The following is a 15,564-nucleotide window of genomic DNA, read 5'->3' on the forward strand; positions in this document are numbered from 1 at the left end:
TTATTTCTTGTGTTAATTTTTAAAGAATTACTGTTTCTTTTTTTTCCCCTTAATACTAGGTTTCCAGTTGCCCAGACAGGAGTGCAGTGGCATGATCATAGCTCACTGAGCCTCAACCTCCCAGGCTCAAGTGATCGTCTCACCCCAACCTCCTGAGTAGCTGGGACTACAGGGGCAAGCCACCATGCCTGGCTAATTTTTTAATTTTTTGTGGAGTCGGGGTTTTGCCATGTTACCCAGGCTGGTCCCAAACTTCCTGGGCTCAAGTAATCTGCCCACCTTGGCCTCCAAAAGTGCTAGTGTTACAGGCATGAGCCACCGTGCCCAGCTACCATTTCTCTTTGCTCCATGGTTTGATAGGAATTGATATAAGATGTATCTTTGATGGCCTTTTCATTTTTTTTCATGGTTGATAATGCTGTTCACCTGCTTCTGAGTCTTTAAAAAAAAAAAACTTTTCCTAGAAAATTGCCTATTTTTGTTAAATTTTAAAATTATCCTTCAGTGGCATACATGGCATTCTCAATTTTTAAAAGTACCTCTTTATTGCTTGCTAAAATGCTCCTTTTCTCAATGCTCATTTTTGTTTCAGTCTTCTCTTAACGAGATTTGTCTTGTCTTTTATCTACTTTTTCTTTGGAGTCTCGCGCTGTCACCCAGGCTGGAGTGCATTAGTGCAATCTCAGCTCACTGCAACCTCCATCTGCCGGGTTCAAGTAATTCTCGTGCCTCAGCCTCCCAAGTAGTTGGGACTACAGGCACATGCCACCACACCCAGCTAATTGTTTGTATTTTTAGTAGAGACAAGGTCTCACCACGTTACCCAGCCTAGTCTCGAACTCCTGAGCTCATGCAATCCACCCACCTCAGCCTCCCAGAGTGCTAGGATTACAGGCGTGAGCCACTGCGCCCAGCCTGTTATTTACCTACTTTTATTAGTCTTTTAAAAGAATAGCTCTCCATTTTAGTTACCATTTTTACTATTTTTAAAGTGATCACTTCTGTTTTTGTCTTAACTAATTACATTTTAAACTTTTTTGGCTTATTTTTAGTTCTTTCCTAGATTCTTGAGAGTTGACTGTTTAATTCATTTATTTCTAGCTTTATTTAATAATAAGCATCTAAAGCTGTGACTTCTTTTGGATGTAACTTTGACCATGTCCCGTAGATTTTGGTAGTCTGTATTCTTATTGTCATTAATTTATTTTAATTATCAAAGTCCACATAGCTTACTAAGTGGCAAAGTCAGGATTCAAGGCTGTCTCCATGACATGAGATCTGCTTTTTAATATCTTCTCCTTGTAGAACAGAGACAGTACATTTAGATGATTTTTTTCAGGATCAGTGATTGAAATAATTCAGAGTTAAAACAAAATGAATTCCTTTTTTTTCCCCAAATTCATCAGGAACCTTTGTAACACTTGATTAACAGAATTCTGCTGTAGATACCTCAGCTTTTAGGGGTATGGAGAGTGACAATAAGTAGGGGACAGAGGCTCAAAATGATTTTGTGAGTTGGCTGGACTTCCTTCTGCTTGTCGCCTCTGGGATCATTTCATGTGTCCATTGGGATATTCTACCAGTAATTAGCTTGGGCTGCTTCATGTGGCAGCTGGGTTCAGAGTCATTATATGGATATCCCGATTACCCTGAGTTGATTTTATGAATGTACCAAATTCTTGCATGTACCCCCAAAATATGTACATCTAATATGTATTAATAAAAAGTCATCATTATTACCTTTTTAAAACAGTTTTGTTGAGTTATATTTTACTCATTTCAGTGATTTTTAGTAACCTTATCAAGTGTCACAACCATCCCATCATAAACCTGTCTTAGAACATTTTTATCCCCCATGCCCATTTATAGCTAATCTCTCTTCCCATCTCCCACAACCTATCCCAGGCAGCTACTAATATACTTTCTCTATATACATTTTCTTGCTTTGGACGTTTTACTTAAATGGAATTATGCAATAGGTGATCTTTTTTATCTAGCTTCTTTCATTCAGCAAGTTTTTGATATTAACCCATGAGGTAACATATATCAATAGTTTATTTCTTTCTGTTGCTGAAAGATTTTCCATTGTATGGATTTGCCAAGTCATTGGTTTTTAGTAAGTGTACAAATTGTCTTGGAAACTTTTTATCTAGGTTCGACATAAATAGGGTGATATTATGGTCTTTAAGACTCAATTTTTTAGATTTAAACTTCTTTTAGTGACCTAATGCATTGGTTTTTTAAAAAATGTTCCTTGGAAATTTTAAAAGGACATATCTTTCTGTCCTTTATGTAGTTGTCAATTTATGCTTTTTAAGTATAATAATAGTTCAATATTTATACCTTTTCTAGATTATATATCTTTGAATGATGCAGGCCACTGCAGTGGTGGAGACAGCATCTGGTAAAGGCTACCACAGTAATGGAGGCAACCTCCAAAAAGGTAAGGGTCTAGTCCACTTACCCTTATTCTTGGTGGGGAAGGGTGTTAAATGTATTGTGCCAGACAGTTTGCCCTTCAGGTTGCTGCTTTTTAACTCTTCCTCCCTCTAAGGTGGTAAGACTCAGTATATTTTTAACTTGCCAAATTGACTCAGGTGATTTTTGGTGGATCAGGGCAGTCTAGGCAGGACCTTTCTTTAGGAAAGGGAAAGTGAGCAGGAAGAAAGGATTTCTGTCCAGCCAGCCTTTCAAGAACTGCTGACAGGTATAACTGCCTTCAGGGTGATAATCAGAAAGTGAGCAGGTTGACTTCTGCTGCCCAAGTTGTATATGTTTTCTTCTTCCCATAAATCTGAAATGTATTTTTCCTGGGTCATGGCAGCAAGAAAATAAGAAATAGCAAGAGTCTAAAAAGCAAGATGACTAAACTTTATGTGCTTATGACTGTATGTAGCTTAAACTATTAAGATATATATATTCTAGATTAAAACAAAAACTCTACATTGTTCATGAGACATATTTAAAACAGAAAAGAAAGGTTTAGGATAAAAGGATGGACAAGTTAAACAAATTAACTTAAAAATTTGGGGTGATAGTAGTAAAGAGCATAATCAATGCAGAAAGCATTGTAAGACGATTAAGAGGGTCATTTTAAAGTGATAAAGTTATACAATGAAGATGTCATTCATGAACCCTAATGGAATAAACAGTATACTTTGTATTCATACATTAAATGTTGGAAATCTAGGGAAAGGCTACTGGAGATTGGACATGATAATGGTTCTCTATCTCAGTAAATCCCAATAGGGTATTTTATGCAATTCAAAATGGTCCCCCAAAAATAAACTTAAAAAAATCTATTGAAGAGAAGGTAAAATAAATTTTAAAATACAGGAAAAAACTTACCAGATATAAAAATAACCTGTGATACTATAATAATTAAAACAGTAATACAGTCATACAAAAAGATAATAGGTTAGTGGAGTGGAATAAATAGAAATAAATTCTTAGAAAATCATGAAACAGAAACAGGAAGACTTCAGAATATGATAAAGATGTTGTTTCAGCTCAGAAGGAAAACAATGGATTATTTGGCAAATGGTATTACGACAATTGACCATCCATTTTGGAAGAAAGTTAAGTTAGAGTTCTACCTTATGCTAAAGAGGAAAATAATACTCTGTGTAGTGTAAAAAGACTAAGTGTTAACCCCCACCCCCCCCTACACACACAATTAGAATAAATTATAGGAGAATATTTTTATAATTACTTGGTAGAGAAGACCAAAGACACAAAACCTAGAAGTTACAGAAGACTGATGCACTTAACTAAATAACCTGGAAAATTCTGATATGACAAGATACTATAAAAAGTTAAAGCCAGGCAAGCTACTTGGGTGGCTGAGGCAGGAAGATTGCTTGATGCAAGTCTAGCACCCAGGCAACATAGCAAGACCCTGTCTCTTAAAATAATTTTTAAAAATTAAAAGATAAGCAATAAGCTAGGAAAATTCAGTTATATTACAAATGTTAAAAAGAAAACAAAGAATTAGTATCTAGAATATATAAAAGACTCCTAAACAACTCTGTCGTCTCCAACCACATATTTATAACAGCTTACTGGACAGACATTCACATCTGGGTGTTTTATTACTAACCTCAAACTCTACTTGCCCAGAATTGAACTCATTATCCTCATCGTCCTCCTCATTTTTCCCTTCTACCTTCTAATCTGCTCTTCACACAGTCCCTATCTCTTTAGCCCTGAATATTCCCATTCAACTATAGTACCAAGTTGTAAACATGTAAGCATTATCTTTGAGTGATATTTAAGTGAGTATTTATTGGCCAATTGGTAAGTCATAACATCAGTTTAGCTGATTGTGATGAATTTTTTTTAAAGAAATGGAATAGAATAAAATAGAAAATACAAGAATACATTGGACATGGGTAAAATTTTTGTTTTACTTATACACATACATATATGTATGTGTGTACTGGGTCATGATATGACCAAAATGTAATTCCGATTATGATCTTAGTAAAAAAAAATCTTTTGAAAACCACTGCTCTCTCTCTTCCTCTTACTATCATCTCTAATTGGCCACCAAGACATGTCAGTTGTGGAACTTTCATACCAGTCTCTTCTTTAGTCCCACCTCTGTTTTGGTACCTGCCTTTTTTCTCCTCTTTCAAGTTTTTAATCTTTCTGTTGCCAGGAATGACTACAACTCAATTCCAGTCACATGACTACCCTTTAATGAAGTTTTCAGTGGTTTTTGGTTGCCTTAGAATAAGAGCCAAACTTCTTAGCACATCATAAAGGGCCTTTTTCAGTTGATAATTCCTGTCATACTCGTAAGAGTTCTTTCACTACAGACAAGTCTTAAAATTTCCTGAAAATGCCATGTTCTTTCACACGGCTAATTGTACTTGCGTTGGATTTGCCTAAAATAATTTTGTCTATTTTGTTTCAAAACACTTTTTAAATACAAAGTTTTTCTGAAGTCTGCTTCCCTTTTTTTCAAAAATTTACCTGCTCCATCAACACAACTCTGTCAGCACTGTGTTAAAATTACATTTTTGTGTGCTTACCTTATGACCCTATGAAAACTATAAGCACTTGGGGACAGCATCCGTGTCTTCTTTTTCTTTGTTTTTACAGTGCCTAGAGCTAGCACTGGAGGCGCCCAAAGATTTATTAAATAAATTTATAAGAAAAAAGTTTCTTATTAGACCATTTTACAAACAGTGGCTGCCCTGTAAACAGTAAATTTCTTCCCATCGAAAGAATTCAAGAAAATCTTAGCTGTTGTCTTAGGTCAGGCTGCCATAACAAAATACCATATAGTGAGTGGCTTAAACAACAGGTGCTTATTTTCTCATAGTTTTGGAGGCTGGAAGTCTGAGATCAAGGTGCCAGCATGGTCAGGTTCTGGTGAGGGGTCTCTTCCTAGCTTGTAGATGGCTGCCTTCTTGCTGTGTCCTCACATGAGAGAAGGGGGAGGCAAGCTCTTTTGGTCTTTTCTTGAAAGGACACTAATCCTATAATTAGGGTCTTGCCCTCATGACCTCATGTAAACCTAATTACCTCTCCAAGTCCCCATTTCCAACATATGGGTCTGGCCTTCAAGGCATCATTTGGGAGGACATGGTTCAGTTTTTAGCTGCTACTGAAAGGGATATTTTTCATGGATGATGTAAATTGTAATCCCGCATTGGGAAGAGCTTAAACCAGATCATGTCTAAGGTTTTTCTAGTGTCTAGATTCTGTAATGTTGCTGTTAATGTTTTTATCCTTTTTTTAATCAGATAAACCTTCAAATCCAAAGAAAGAAAATTTGTTATTATCCTCCAATGGTTGTGATGAAGTCAAATTGACTTTTCCTGATGATGACTGGAATTCTTCGACACTAGAGCAAAGAGCTAATAATAAAGAAATCAGCAATATTGACAAAATGGATTTATTAGAGCCATTTTTTTCAGTGAGTCAAGATACTAACACAGAGAGTACTCAGTTTCAGTCAAGTGAACTTGAAGACAGTACTGACTATGCTTTCTTGAATAAAACATATTCTATACCTTATTCAGAGTCAAAACTAAAGAAGGAAAGTCTTACTCCTTTAAGTTCAGAATTAGATCCTGAAGTGCAGAAAAAAGAGGAGGTTTTTTTTAATATTTTGGAACATCAAGATAAGACTGTTGGCTTGGAAAGAATCTACAATATTTCAGATGCTAATTATAGAGAAAGTGCTGAAGATACACAAAAGCATGATACAGATGAAGACTCACAGCAGGAATATCACAGTGCAGAAGAACAAGAATACATAAGTAACCATTTATCTTTTGACCAAACAAAAGCATTAGATATATCTAATCCAGAAGTTGTTGAATTAGGAAATTCGGGTTATGAAGTTAAATGTGCTAGCAATGTAGAAGATAATCGTGTTAACTCGGGAAGTGGTTCTATCATCTCTTTCGATTCACTTGATGTTTATGGACAAGAAGAGTCACTTCATGTCTCCAAATTTCAGAATTCTGTTATGTTAAGAGAATATCATGACCTAAAGCATGAAAAGTATAAGGAACAAGAGACTAATTCAATGTACCACACTGTATTTGATGGCAGTGTACTAAGAAGCAATTCTCCAGGAAACCAGGAATCTCAATCTAAGAGTGGTTCCTTGAGCCCTCAAAAAGTATTAAAAATGAAAATTTATACTGAAAACATGAAATCTCAAATAAATGAAGGTAAAGATTTTTGTGGAAATAAAATTGTTGAGAACAAAATATTACTGCACCTTGAAAATCCTAGCACATTACCACAGGATAAAGCTTTAGAGACATTACTCCAACCCTGTAAAGATTGTCAAACTTCCTGGACCTCTGTTTTTGATGATTCGATAATTTCTGCCTGTGGATATTATGAAAGCCTACAAAACACTGCTGACTCAGCCTTAGATTTTTCTGCTATGCTACCAAAGATCGCAGTCAGAGATAATCAGGCAATAGAAGATAATACGTCCCTAAAAGTTGCTCATAGCAGTACCACAAAGAAAACATGCTTTCACAATATAGGAGAAATGTGTACTAAATCATTGACAGATGCAGCAAGTTGTACAGTCACAATTAATCAGACAGTGGACGTTAGCACTGATTTTAGGGCTTGTTTCACAACCAGCAGGGCAACAAGTGCAAGACCTTCTGTAGTATCTACATCAAGCAACACAGAGATAACAATGATGAATAAAAAACGACCTGATGAATGGCAAAATGAGAAACAAAAAAGTGTGGCTTGTAGTACAGATTGGTCATACAGTGAAGATTGTATAGATACACAGATGGCTATAACAAAAGGATCAGGAAAATCTCTCTCCGTTGACAGTTTAAAACCTAATGGAAATTTTCTAAATAAGGTAAAATCAATATGAGTAATAATAAAATTTGGACTTTATAAAGAGACAGTGTATGCTAATGTAAGTGTTTTTGGTTCGTTGAATTAAGGCTTTTGTGAGAAGATGCTAGATGAGGGGAGTAAATTAAAAAGGGAGTAAATTAAAAAGTAAATTAAAAAAAAAAGACGTGTAAATTACCACCAGTTCTATCCTCCTCTCCTGGCAGCTCCTCCCACAAAATCCATTAGAAATTGAATTGTACATTTTATTAGTTTGGAATTTCAGATATAACTTTTTTAAATTTAATTTTAAATCATATTTTCAGGATTTCCTGGAATTAAGAAAAGCATGTGGTATCACAGACCTAAAGAAACATCCTGAGAGGTACATCATTTATATATGCTTACAGATACATCTGGAAGAAAAAATCAAAATAGTATTTGCTTTCTGTATAGCATACTTACCCATATAGAATAATAGCTAAAATGGACTTTAAGAAATCATCTGTTTCAACCGTTTGCATTCAAATAAATATTAAAACAATATAGAATATTAAAGCTCTTCACTTATTGAGATTTCAGTCTCAATTTCTTCAGAAACTCATGGCATCTAATCTTTACTTGTTCAACCCAAATCCATACTGATTTAATTTTCCATTTCCTTTCACTTTATTCACCTGTAGGCCAGAACAAACTAGCACCTTTGGAATATGTCATTTATTTGGAGAAGTAAATAGCTACTTTCACAGGAGCATTTTAATCTTGATTTTAACTCATTGCATAATTTGCTTTGCATTTATCAGATACTCTTGTAATTCAGAACACAGTGGAGAACCAGGAAGTGGGAGGGAGAGAAACAGGGAAGGTCTAAGAAGCGAAATTAGTTATCATACTCTGAGGTCATTTACTTTTTCCTTCACTTATTACTCATTCTTCTAATATGTTTAATCTGGCGTTTCAGTTCTATACAATTAAATTATTGGTTTCTAGAAGCAGAACCATTGAGAATAGCTAGAAGTGGCAATTAGTAACAAGGGAAGACCTCCAAAAACTACTAATACTCAAAAAAACATAGTGATTTGGGGCTTTTTGATATAATAGTACAGCAAAATATTTGCTTATATTAATGATCCTTAACTATTAAGAAATATGTAAATTATTTTCTATTAAAAAGATAATATGTTTTAAGAATAATTTTCATCCAAAATGCTTATAACTTTTAAAAATCTTGGCCAAAGTTTGATTTAGATTGAAAGAAATCCATTGATTCTGGATAAATAAGGTCATTACCAAAATGACTTTATAGAGAATAAGCAATTCTCCAGAATAAACAATTCTCAAATTCATACTTCCTTTTTTGGTAAAAGAAAGTATGAATTTGAGAATTGTTTACTTCCTGGACCTCTAGAATGAATATATTTAGCTTTAACTTCTTGTTTTCTGAAGTTGTTATATATTCCTACAGCCTCTTCATCTTTAGTATAAATTGATTTAAACTTGACAGGGAAATATAAAAAATTTAAAATCTGTTTCTGGAGGCATGTTATTACTATAGAAAAATGTTTGGAATCTTACCTGATCCTATCTTTTATTTTTAAAGGGAATTTCAACTTTTTAAAGATACAGAGAAGGATTTGCCATCAATGTGCTGTCAGAAGATAATGCAGAGAGCCATAAAAGCAGAGCTGCACCTTTTAAATGTTCACTATCAGATGTGTCGTCGCCATTGTTGTGATATTTACAAACTTGTCATGGAAAATAGGGAAGGATTAAATATGTGTTTATTAATTTCAAATCTGTTTTTTCTTAGAAATGTGTCACTAGCTTTAAGTTTATTCTAGAGAGTTTCTCTAATTTTCATTTTTGAAGAGTAAAATGAGGAGTAGATTGTTACTGGGTTTGTTAGTTAGCCTAAGGGTAATAGAACCCTTGAGTTTCATGGAGGGGCCACAGTGCGTGGTTGGCATGATGAATCCAGTGAAAACATAGATTTGTTTTTTCTTTATAAAGTTCAAGTAAGGATGAACTTAGAGAGTTTTTGCATGACATGCTACCACACGTTCTCTGGCTTATGTGTCAAGAGTTGTTTGTACTGCCTTTAGAAAAACATATTTACTGTGGTTCATTTTTTTCTTTTACTCAGCATTTAAAAGAAAATATTTAGAGTTCTAGTAAAATTAGAACCAAGTGGGGTTGGGCAAGGTGGCTTGTGCCTGTAATCCCAGCACTTTGGGAAGCTGAGGCAGGAGAATCACTTAAGGCCAAGAGTTCAAGACCAATGTGGGCAACATAATAGGACCCCCGTCTCTACAATACATTTTTTTACAAATTAGCTGGGCATTGTGGCACACATGTAGTCCTAGCAACTTGCGAGGCTGAGACAGGAGGATTGCTTGAGCCCAGGAGTTCAAGAACCAAGTGTATAATATAATATTAGTGTTAAATGGATGACTTAGGCCTAAATAATTTAGTTTTGTGCACTCAACTTTTGAACAGGAATTTATCAAGTAATTCTGCTAAGAAGGAATTGGGATCAGCACTACTGTCTCTTTTGGGGGACTTAAAAGTTAGATATGTGACTTTGAAAGAAAAAATACACAAAGGCATACCACTGGAAGAGCTGCCCCCACTGTCACTAGAATCAAAATTATTATCTACCTTCTCTACTTTTGCTTCCAGGGTATGTATATATGTTTTAGAAATAAAAAATTTTACTTCATTTAGACAAAACATTTTAAACAAAGATTTTTTTTCCTTTTCTCTCCTTCCAGCTAATGAAAAAAGAAACACATGTGTGAGTTATGGTTTCATTTGATTTATAATTCATTAGATCCTAAAAATTGCTTAATTCAGTTAACTTTAAACTTTGTTTTGTTCCCTATTTAGAACATTGATAAATGTTTTAATGAAGTGTTTATCTTTTTTCTTGACATTTAATATTGTACAAATGTATGGGGTACATGTAATATTTTTTGCATGCATAGGATGTGTACTAATCAAGTTGATATTCAGGATATCCATCACCTTGTGTATTTGTCATTTCTATGTGTTAGGAACATTTCAAGTCCTCTCTTTTAGCTACTTTGAAATATACATTGTAGTTAACTATAGTCACCTTACTCTGTTATCAAACATTAGATCATATTTCTTCTGAAATGTTCTTTTTAGCTTTTCAGAAGCAGATGCTGAACAAGATAATCAGAGGGCTCATGATGTTGATGTTTCTTCAAACCTAAAAAAGACACTCTCTCAAGTAAGGGTCCTTGAAAGTTCATCAATGCAAATCTTTAAGTGTATGGTTTACGTAAAGTAAATCATAATTTTCAGAAACCCTGACATCCTTCTTTTCACTCAACTGGCTTACTTTGTGTACTACCATTTGAGGGATATAACTGATTATAATGATATATTTATGTCGAATCCTGATCAAACAGATGTCAACCGTATATGTTGAGTAGGGTGACCATATAATTTACACCACACCAGGAGACTTTTGAGGTTGAAAGAGTGTAATGGTAATTCTCTACAACAGTTGGTATAAACATGGACTGTCCTGGGCAAACAATAATTTAGTGCCATCATCATGTGAAGCCAGTGCAATTAAAACTAACACTTTGTACGTTCATCTCATGAGGTAAAGTAATAATTCAGTCATTTTAGACAGGGAAAAGTTATAATTTCTTCTTTACTGAGATGATGAAAATCATTTTTAAATGCCTGTCATAGGTTTTCTTACTCTTTCTTGTTCCCGCAAGAAAGTGTTTGTCAGATGACAACCAAGAAGGAAGATTTAATCTACGTAAGAACACTCTGAAAATTACAAAGTGTTATGGAAACATTGGTTATATTCTATTATTGAGCAAGGAGGCAATTGAATAGGAAGGCTGGGGTTTAGTCTGCTTTTCTGACCTTGGTTTTAACCCTGAGGTTTCTTTATTTGAGTAATATTAATCCCCCAAGATGAATTCCAAAGTTAAAAGTGAAATACTTGAGTAAAAGTAAATTACTTTAACATTGTCTATTCCATTGTTAAATTCTTTTTTAAAAAATCTCAGTTATCCACAAAGAATTAACAGGTCAAAAACTAGATTTTTATGTATTTAATGGTAGGAATGGTATAACCTGTTTATTTAGGGAGAACAATAAATTATTTTTTAAAGAACAAGATAAAGATATAACGTAGTTTTATAATCTTGGTTTTGGCTACAAAACAATATTGATTTTAAGTTGAGATTTATTTTAAGTTGAGATTACATTTTAATTCCTGTCTCATTAAATTAACTGGTAATTCATGAAACTCAGTATAGTGTTTCTAAATTTCAGCTACTCATGTACCATCTTCACAGTTTACCGTAGCCCTGTATTACCTATAATGTTACTTTGTCTTTAAATGATTCTCCTTTTTACATAAATTTAAATGTAAACAATAACTATTACATATAGGAAAGAAATATTGCTTCTCGTAAATAAAATATACACATAAGCATACGCTAAATTAAATATATAGCTGTTAAAGGTTAATGTGATAAATATTTGTGTATATATATAATATATATATATACACCTCCAAAAATTATCTCGATTACTTCTCATGTGTGTATGCCACACTTTGCCAAATAGTAGTGTTAGCACAGTCATTATACACAGACTGGATTCAAAGTGTAATTCTTGTTAACTGTGTAACATGAAGCAACAAGTTACTTAGATTCTGTTCTCTCACATGTCAGGTCAGGTTGATAATGTTTTCCTTTCAGAGCCCTCATTACTGTAAAGGCTGAATAATGCCAGTGAAGAGTACCTGTCACATAGTAAGAGCATAATAATTATTTGCCCTTATTTATTGTTTTTATTATCTTAATCCTCAGATGTCTTTATCATCTGACAATAGTCATGCTACACAAAACATATCACCCAAGAAAGATGACTTTAAAAATGGTGATATAAATGCAGACTTTAGTCAACTGAAACTTGGTGATAAAGGTTAGTATAAAAATGTGTTATCTTGTATAGTTGCTGGAAAACAAAATAAGGTTTAAAGTATTGGTAGTGTTTATTCATTAAATAAAAATAAATTTTCTTAATTGATGGAAAGGCATCATTCTGATTATAAATGTCAAGTATGTTCTTATTATTGCTACTTGACATCTTTAAGGTTGCCTAATATAGCTGACAATGCTAAATAATAATATGGACTCTTATTCTTCTGGTTCATGTTTTTAGTATGAAAATTCTCTCTTGTATCTAATTTGTATCTCTGTAAATTGTGTGCATTTTTAGCACATGAAAAGAGATTATGATCATTCCAAAAGATTATTAATTTAATTGTAATGAAATAAAGGGCTGCAACGCGGCTTAATTCTTTCAAAGATGTTTCATGTTATTGCATATATAAAGATAATATGTCTTTTTCACTAAAGTACAGTTCAAAATGCCAAAAATTAAGGGTTTCAATAAGCCGGGAATAGTGTTTTAATTAAAGGAAAACTAAGAAACAGATCAGTCAGACTGAAAGCAACTTTTTATTCAAGGACTGCTGAAAGTCTCTTCTCAGAGAATCTTTTTGCTTGGTTCTCTTATTTTGCTAATATTTCTCTTTAGATTTATACATAAAACTCTAGTAGTCATCATCGTACTGATTCATCCATGGTTTTAAGGTAACTTTTCAGTGTGTTGGACGTTACGTGTCATTCATAGCTCACTGTGTTGAGTGTCTTAGACTGCAGACATTACCAAGAGACAAGCGAAGACTGGTCTGATGCTAAAGAGAGCCTGACAGGAGTTGACGTCTCAGGGACACAGGGAAATCAAGTAGAACAAGACACATGGAATTTGGATCTTACAGGAGGTTGGTTCTCAAGAATTTACCGAGAAATCCTAACCTAGATCATTTGTAAAATAGTGCTTACCTGCTTCTGTGTTGTGTTGGGCAACTGAGTTGTTTTAATATTTTATTCCTGTTTTGGCTTTTCTTTATAAATAAAAAAAGTGAGGAAATTGTTCAGTTGGAGGTCAGTTTTTTAAAGAGGAAAAAACTGCTAAAAGCTTAAATCCAAGATTTAGTTAACAGGTAGATACCCGCATTCTTCCTCTTGCTCTAGGCCAACATCAGCACTCCTGCAGGGCATCATTTTCCTCTTTCCAGGCACGGGTACATGGTGAATAAGACCAGCTTCCCAGTTACCACCAGGCAACCAGTACTAATTTGTCAAATTGGTGTTAATGATGAAAACTATTTGTTTTCTCTTATTTCAATAATTTTAGGGATGTTTTCATTTTTAGATAGTCCTTAATTGCTTAGAATAGTTATAATTTTCTCTAGTACCTGTGATTATTGCCCTTCTGTCATTTCTAGTTAAGTTTATGCTACCTTTCCTTATTTTTTCTGTATCTTCTATGGATTTTTCTTTTATTTTCCATATCAGCATTGGTTGTATTGTTTTTTCCTGCTTGTCTAAATAATGCTTATTATGGTTTTTTTAATAAAATTTAAAAATATAGGAAAATTAAAAACTGGTTTCTCCAACCTGCAGTAACCACTATGAATATTTTAATGACCATTTTTATGCATTTTCTTATGCATATATTTAATATACATATACAATTTAAAGTAAGTAGCATTATGTCATCTAGTTTTGGGGTTTTGTTGTTGTTGTTTGTTTGTTTTTTGAGACAGAGTCTCGCTCTGTCACCCAGGCTGGAGTGGGTGGCACTATCTTGGCTCATTGCAACCCTTCACCTCCCGGGTTCAAGTGATTCTCCTGCCTCAGCTTACAGGTGCCCGCCACAACACCTGGCTAATTTTTGTATCTTTAGTAGTGACGGGGTTTCACCAGGTTGGCCAGGCTGATCTTGAACTCCTGATCTCAAGTGATCCACCCACCTCAGCCTCCTGAAGTGCTGGGATTAGAGGCGTGAGCCACTGCACCCAGCCCCATATCATCTAGTTTATTCTGTTTTTTCTTCCCTTGCATTAGTTTTCTTCATGTCACGTATCACAATACTGTATGGTTTGCTTACTTGATATATTGACTGCCTTCCCATCCTCTCATTAGCTCAGTGAGCTCAGGGATTTTTATGTGTTTTGTTTACTGCCTATCTCCAGTGCCAGGTACGGCATGCAGCCCATTGGATATTCATTAGCTATTTTGTGTTGAAGTAGTGAAAGGTGAGGTGATGGGTATAATGTATGTCTTCTGATTCTTATTTACCCTTTTTTACTGTACTGTAGCTCATTATTCCCTCCTCACTCCAGTGTAAAAATATAAAGGTAGGTGGTTTTGCTGTTTTCTCTATAGAATACATCATTATTCAAAGAGATTAACAAATAAAATAAGTTAATGAAGGTTAGGTATTATTACCTAAGCTGACAAACTCTGCCTGGATTCCAGCACCACTACTTACTCTATTTGTGACCTAAACTCCTGAGACCTCAGCATCCTTATCTGTAAAATGAAAATAATAATAGCTACCTTGTGGCGTGGTTGTGAGAATTACATGAGATGATGTGTATAAAGTGCTTGCCATGTTGCCTGGAGCATCAGAAACATTGGATAAGTGTTAGGCTACTCTTATATATTATTTATTATTATTTAATGAAAAAAATAAAATTTCCACATCTCCCATTACTATATAAAAATTATAAAGCATATAAATAAAAGCTACTTTAAGGATTTATTCAGCAAATATTTGTGTACTTCCTGTGTGCCAGGTATGGGATTTGCTAGTAATTTGAATCTCTATTCAGTGGATCCTTTTTGGTTTCAGGTTCTCTTCACAATAGAGACTATGAAAACGTACTCTTAAGAATTTTGAAATTTTTTATCAAGAAAAATATTTATCTATAATCCTAGTATTTGTAATTTGGAAAATCATGCTGTCTAACTCAAGTTGTCTCTCCCCTTTTTTGTGTGCCCTTACCGTTATTGCAAGCTATATATTATAATACCTGCTATTATATTGCCCAATTAAAAGGTTTTCTTGGTGTGATGTTTCCCCAGCAACGGAATGTGCATAATGAGAGCTCTCAGACCACTAGCTCTAGCCAGCATTAACACTAGGGAGTTAAGATCCTGTGTGTGTCCACTGTTCTAGATAGCACTTCTCTGAACCAAAGACAAAGACAATCAACTGCAGATTGAAAATATTTTTTAAAAGCCTGTACTAAACATATACAGACTTTTTGGGAGGCTCATTATTCCCTAAACAATACAGTATAACAAGTATTTACAT

The 15,564-nt window shown here is 34.2% G+C and overlaps 1 protein-coding gene across 10 annotated transcripts in view; it reads left to right on the plus strand.

Annotated features, from left to right (window-relative positions):
- RBM44 (RNA binding motif protein 44) overlaps nt 1–15,564 on the plus strand; it is a 44,027-nt gene that overhangs the window by 12,461 nt on the left and 16,002 nt on the right. For 4 of the 10 annotated variants that reach the window (XM_017004055.2, XM_017004054.2, XM_005246075.2 and 1 more), the window contains exons 2-10: nt 2,353–2,443; nt 5,754–7,357; nt 7,662–7,720; nt 8,936–9,097; nt 9,832–10,015; nt 10,107–10,129; nt 10,504–10,588; nt 12,201–12,315; nt 13,052–13,180. In XM_017004055.2, the coding sequence (XP_016859544.1) occupies nt 2,368–2,443; nt 5,754–7,357; nt 7,662–7,720; nt 8,936–9,097; nt 9,832–10,015; nt 10,107–10,129; nt 10,504–10,588; nt 12,201–12,315; nt 13,052–13,180 (2,437 nt within the window). In that variant the 5' untranslated portion in view covers nt 2,353–2,367. Of the gene's footprint in view, nt 1–2,352; nt 2,444–5,753; nt 7,358–7,661; nt 7,721–8,935; nt 9,113–9,178; nt 10,016–10,106; nt 10,130–10,503; nt 10,589–12,200; nt 12,316–12,989; nt 13,181–14,563; nt 14,603–15,564 lie in introns of those variants that run through there. The other 6 variants (XM_011511152.3, NM_001080504.3, XM_017004057.2 and 3 more) reach the window with 6 other exon arrangements.

Source organism: Homo sapiens, chromosome 2, assembly GCF_000001405.40.
Source record: "Homo sapiens chromosome 2, GRCh38.p14 Primary Assembly".
Lineage (NCBI taxonomy): Eukaryota > Metazoa > Chordata > Mammalia > Primates > Hominidae > Homo > Homo sapiens.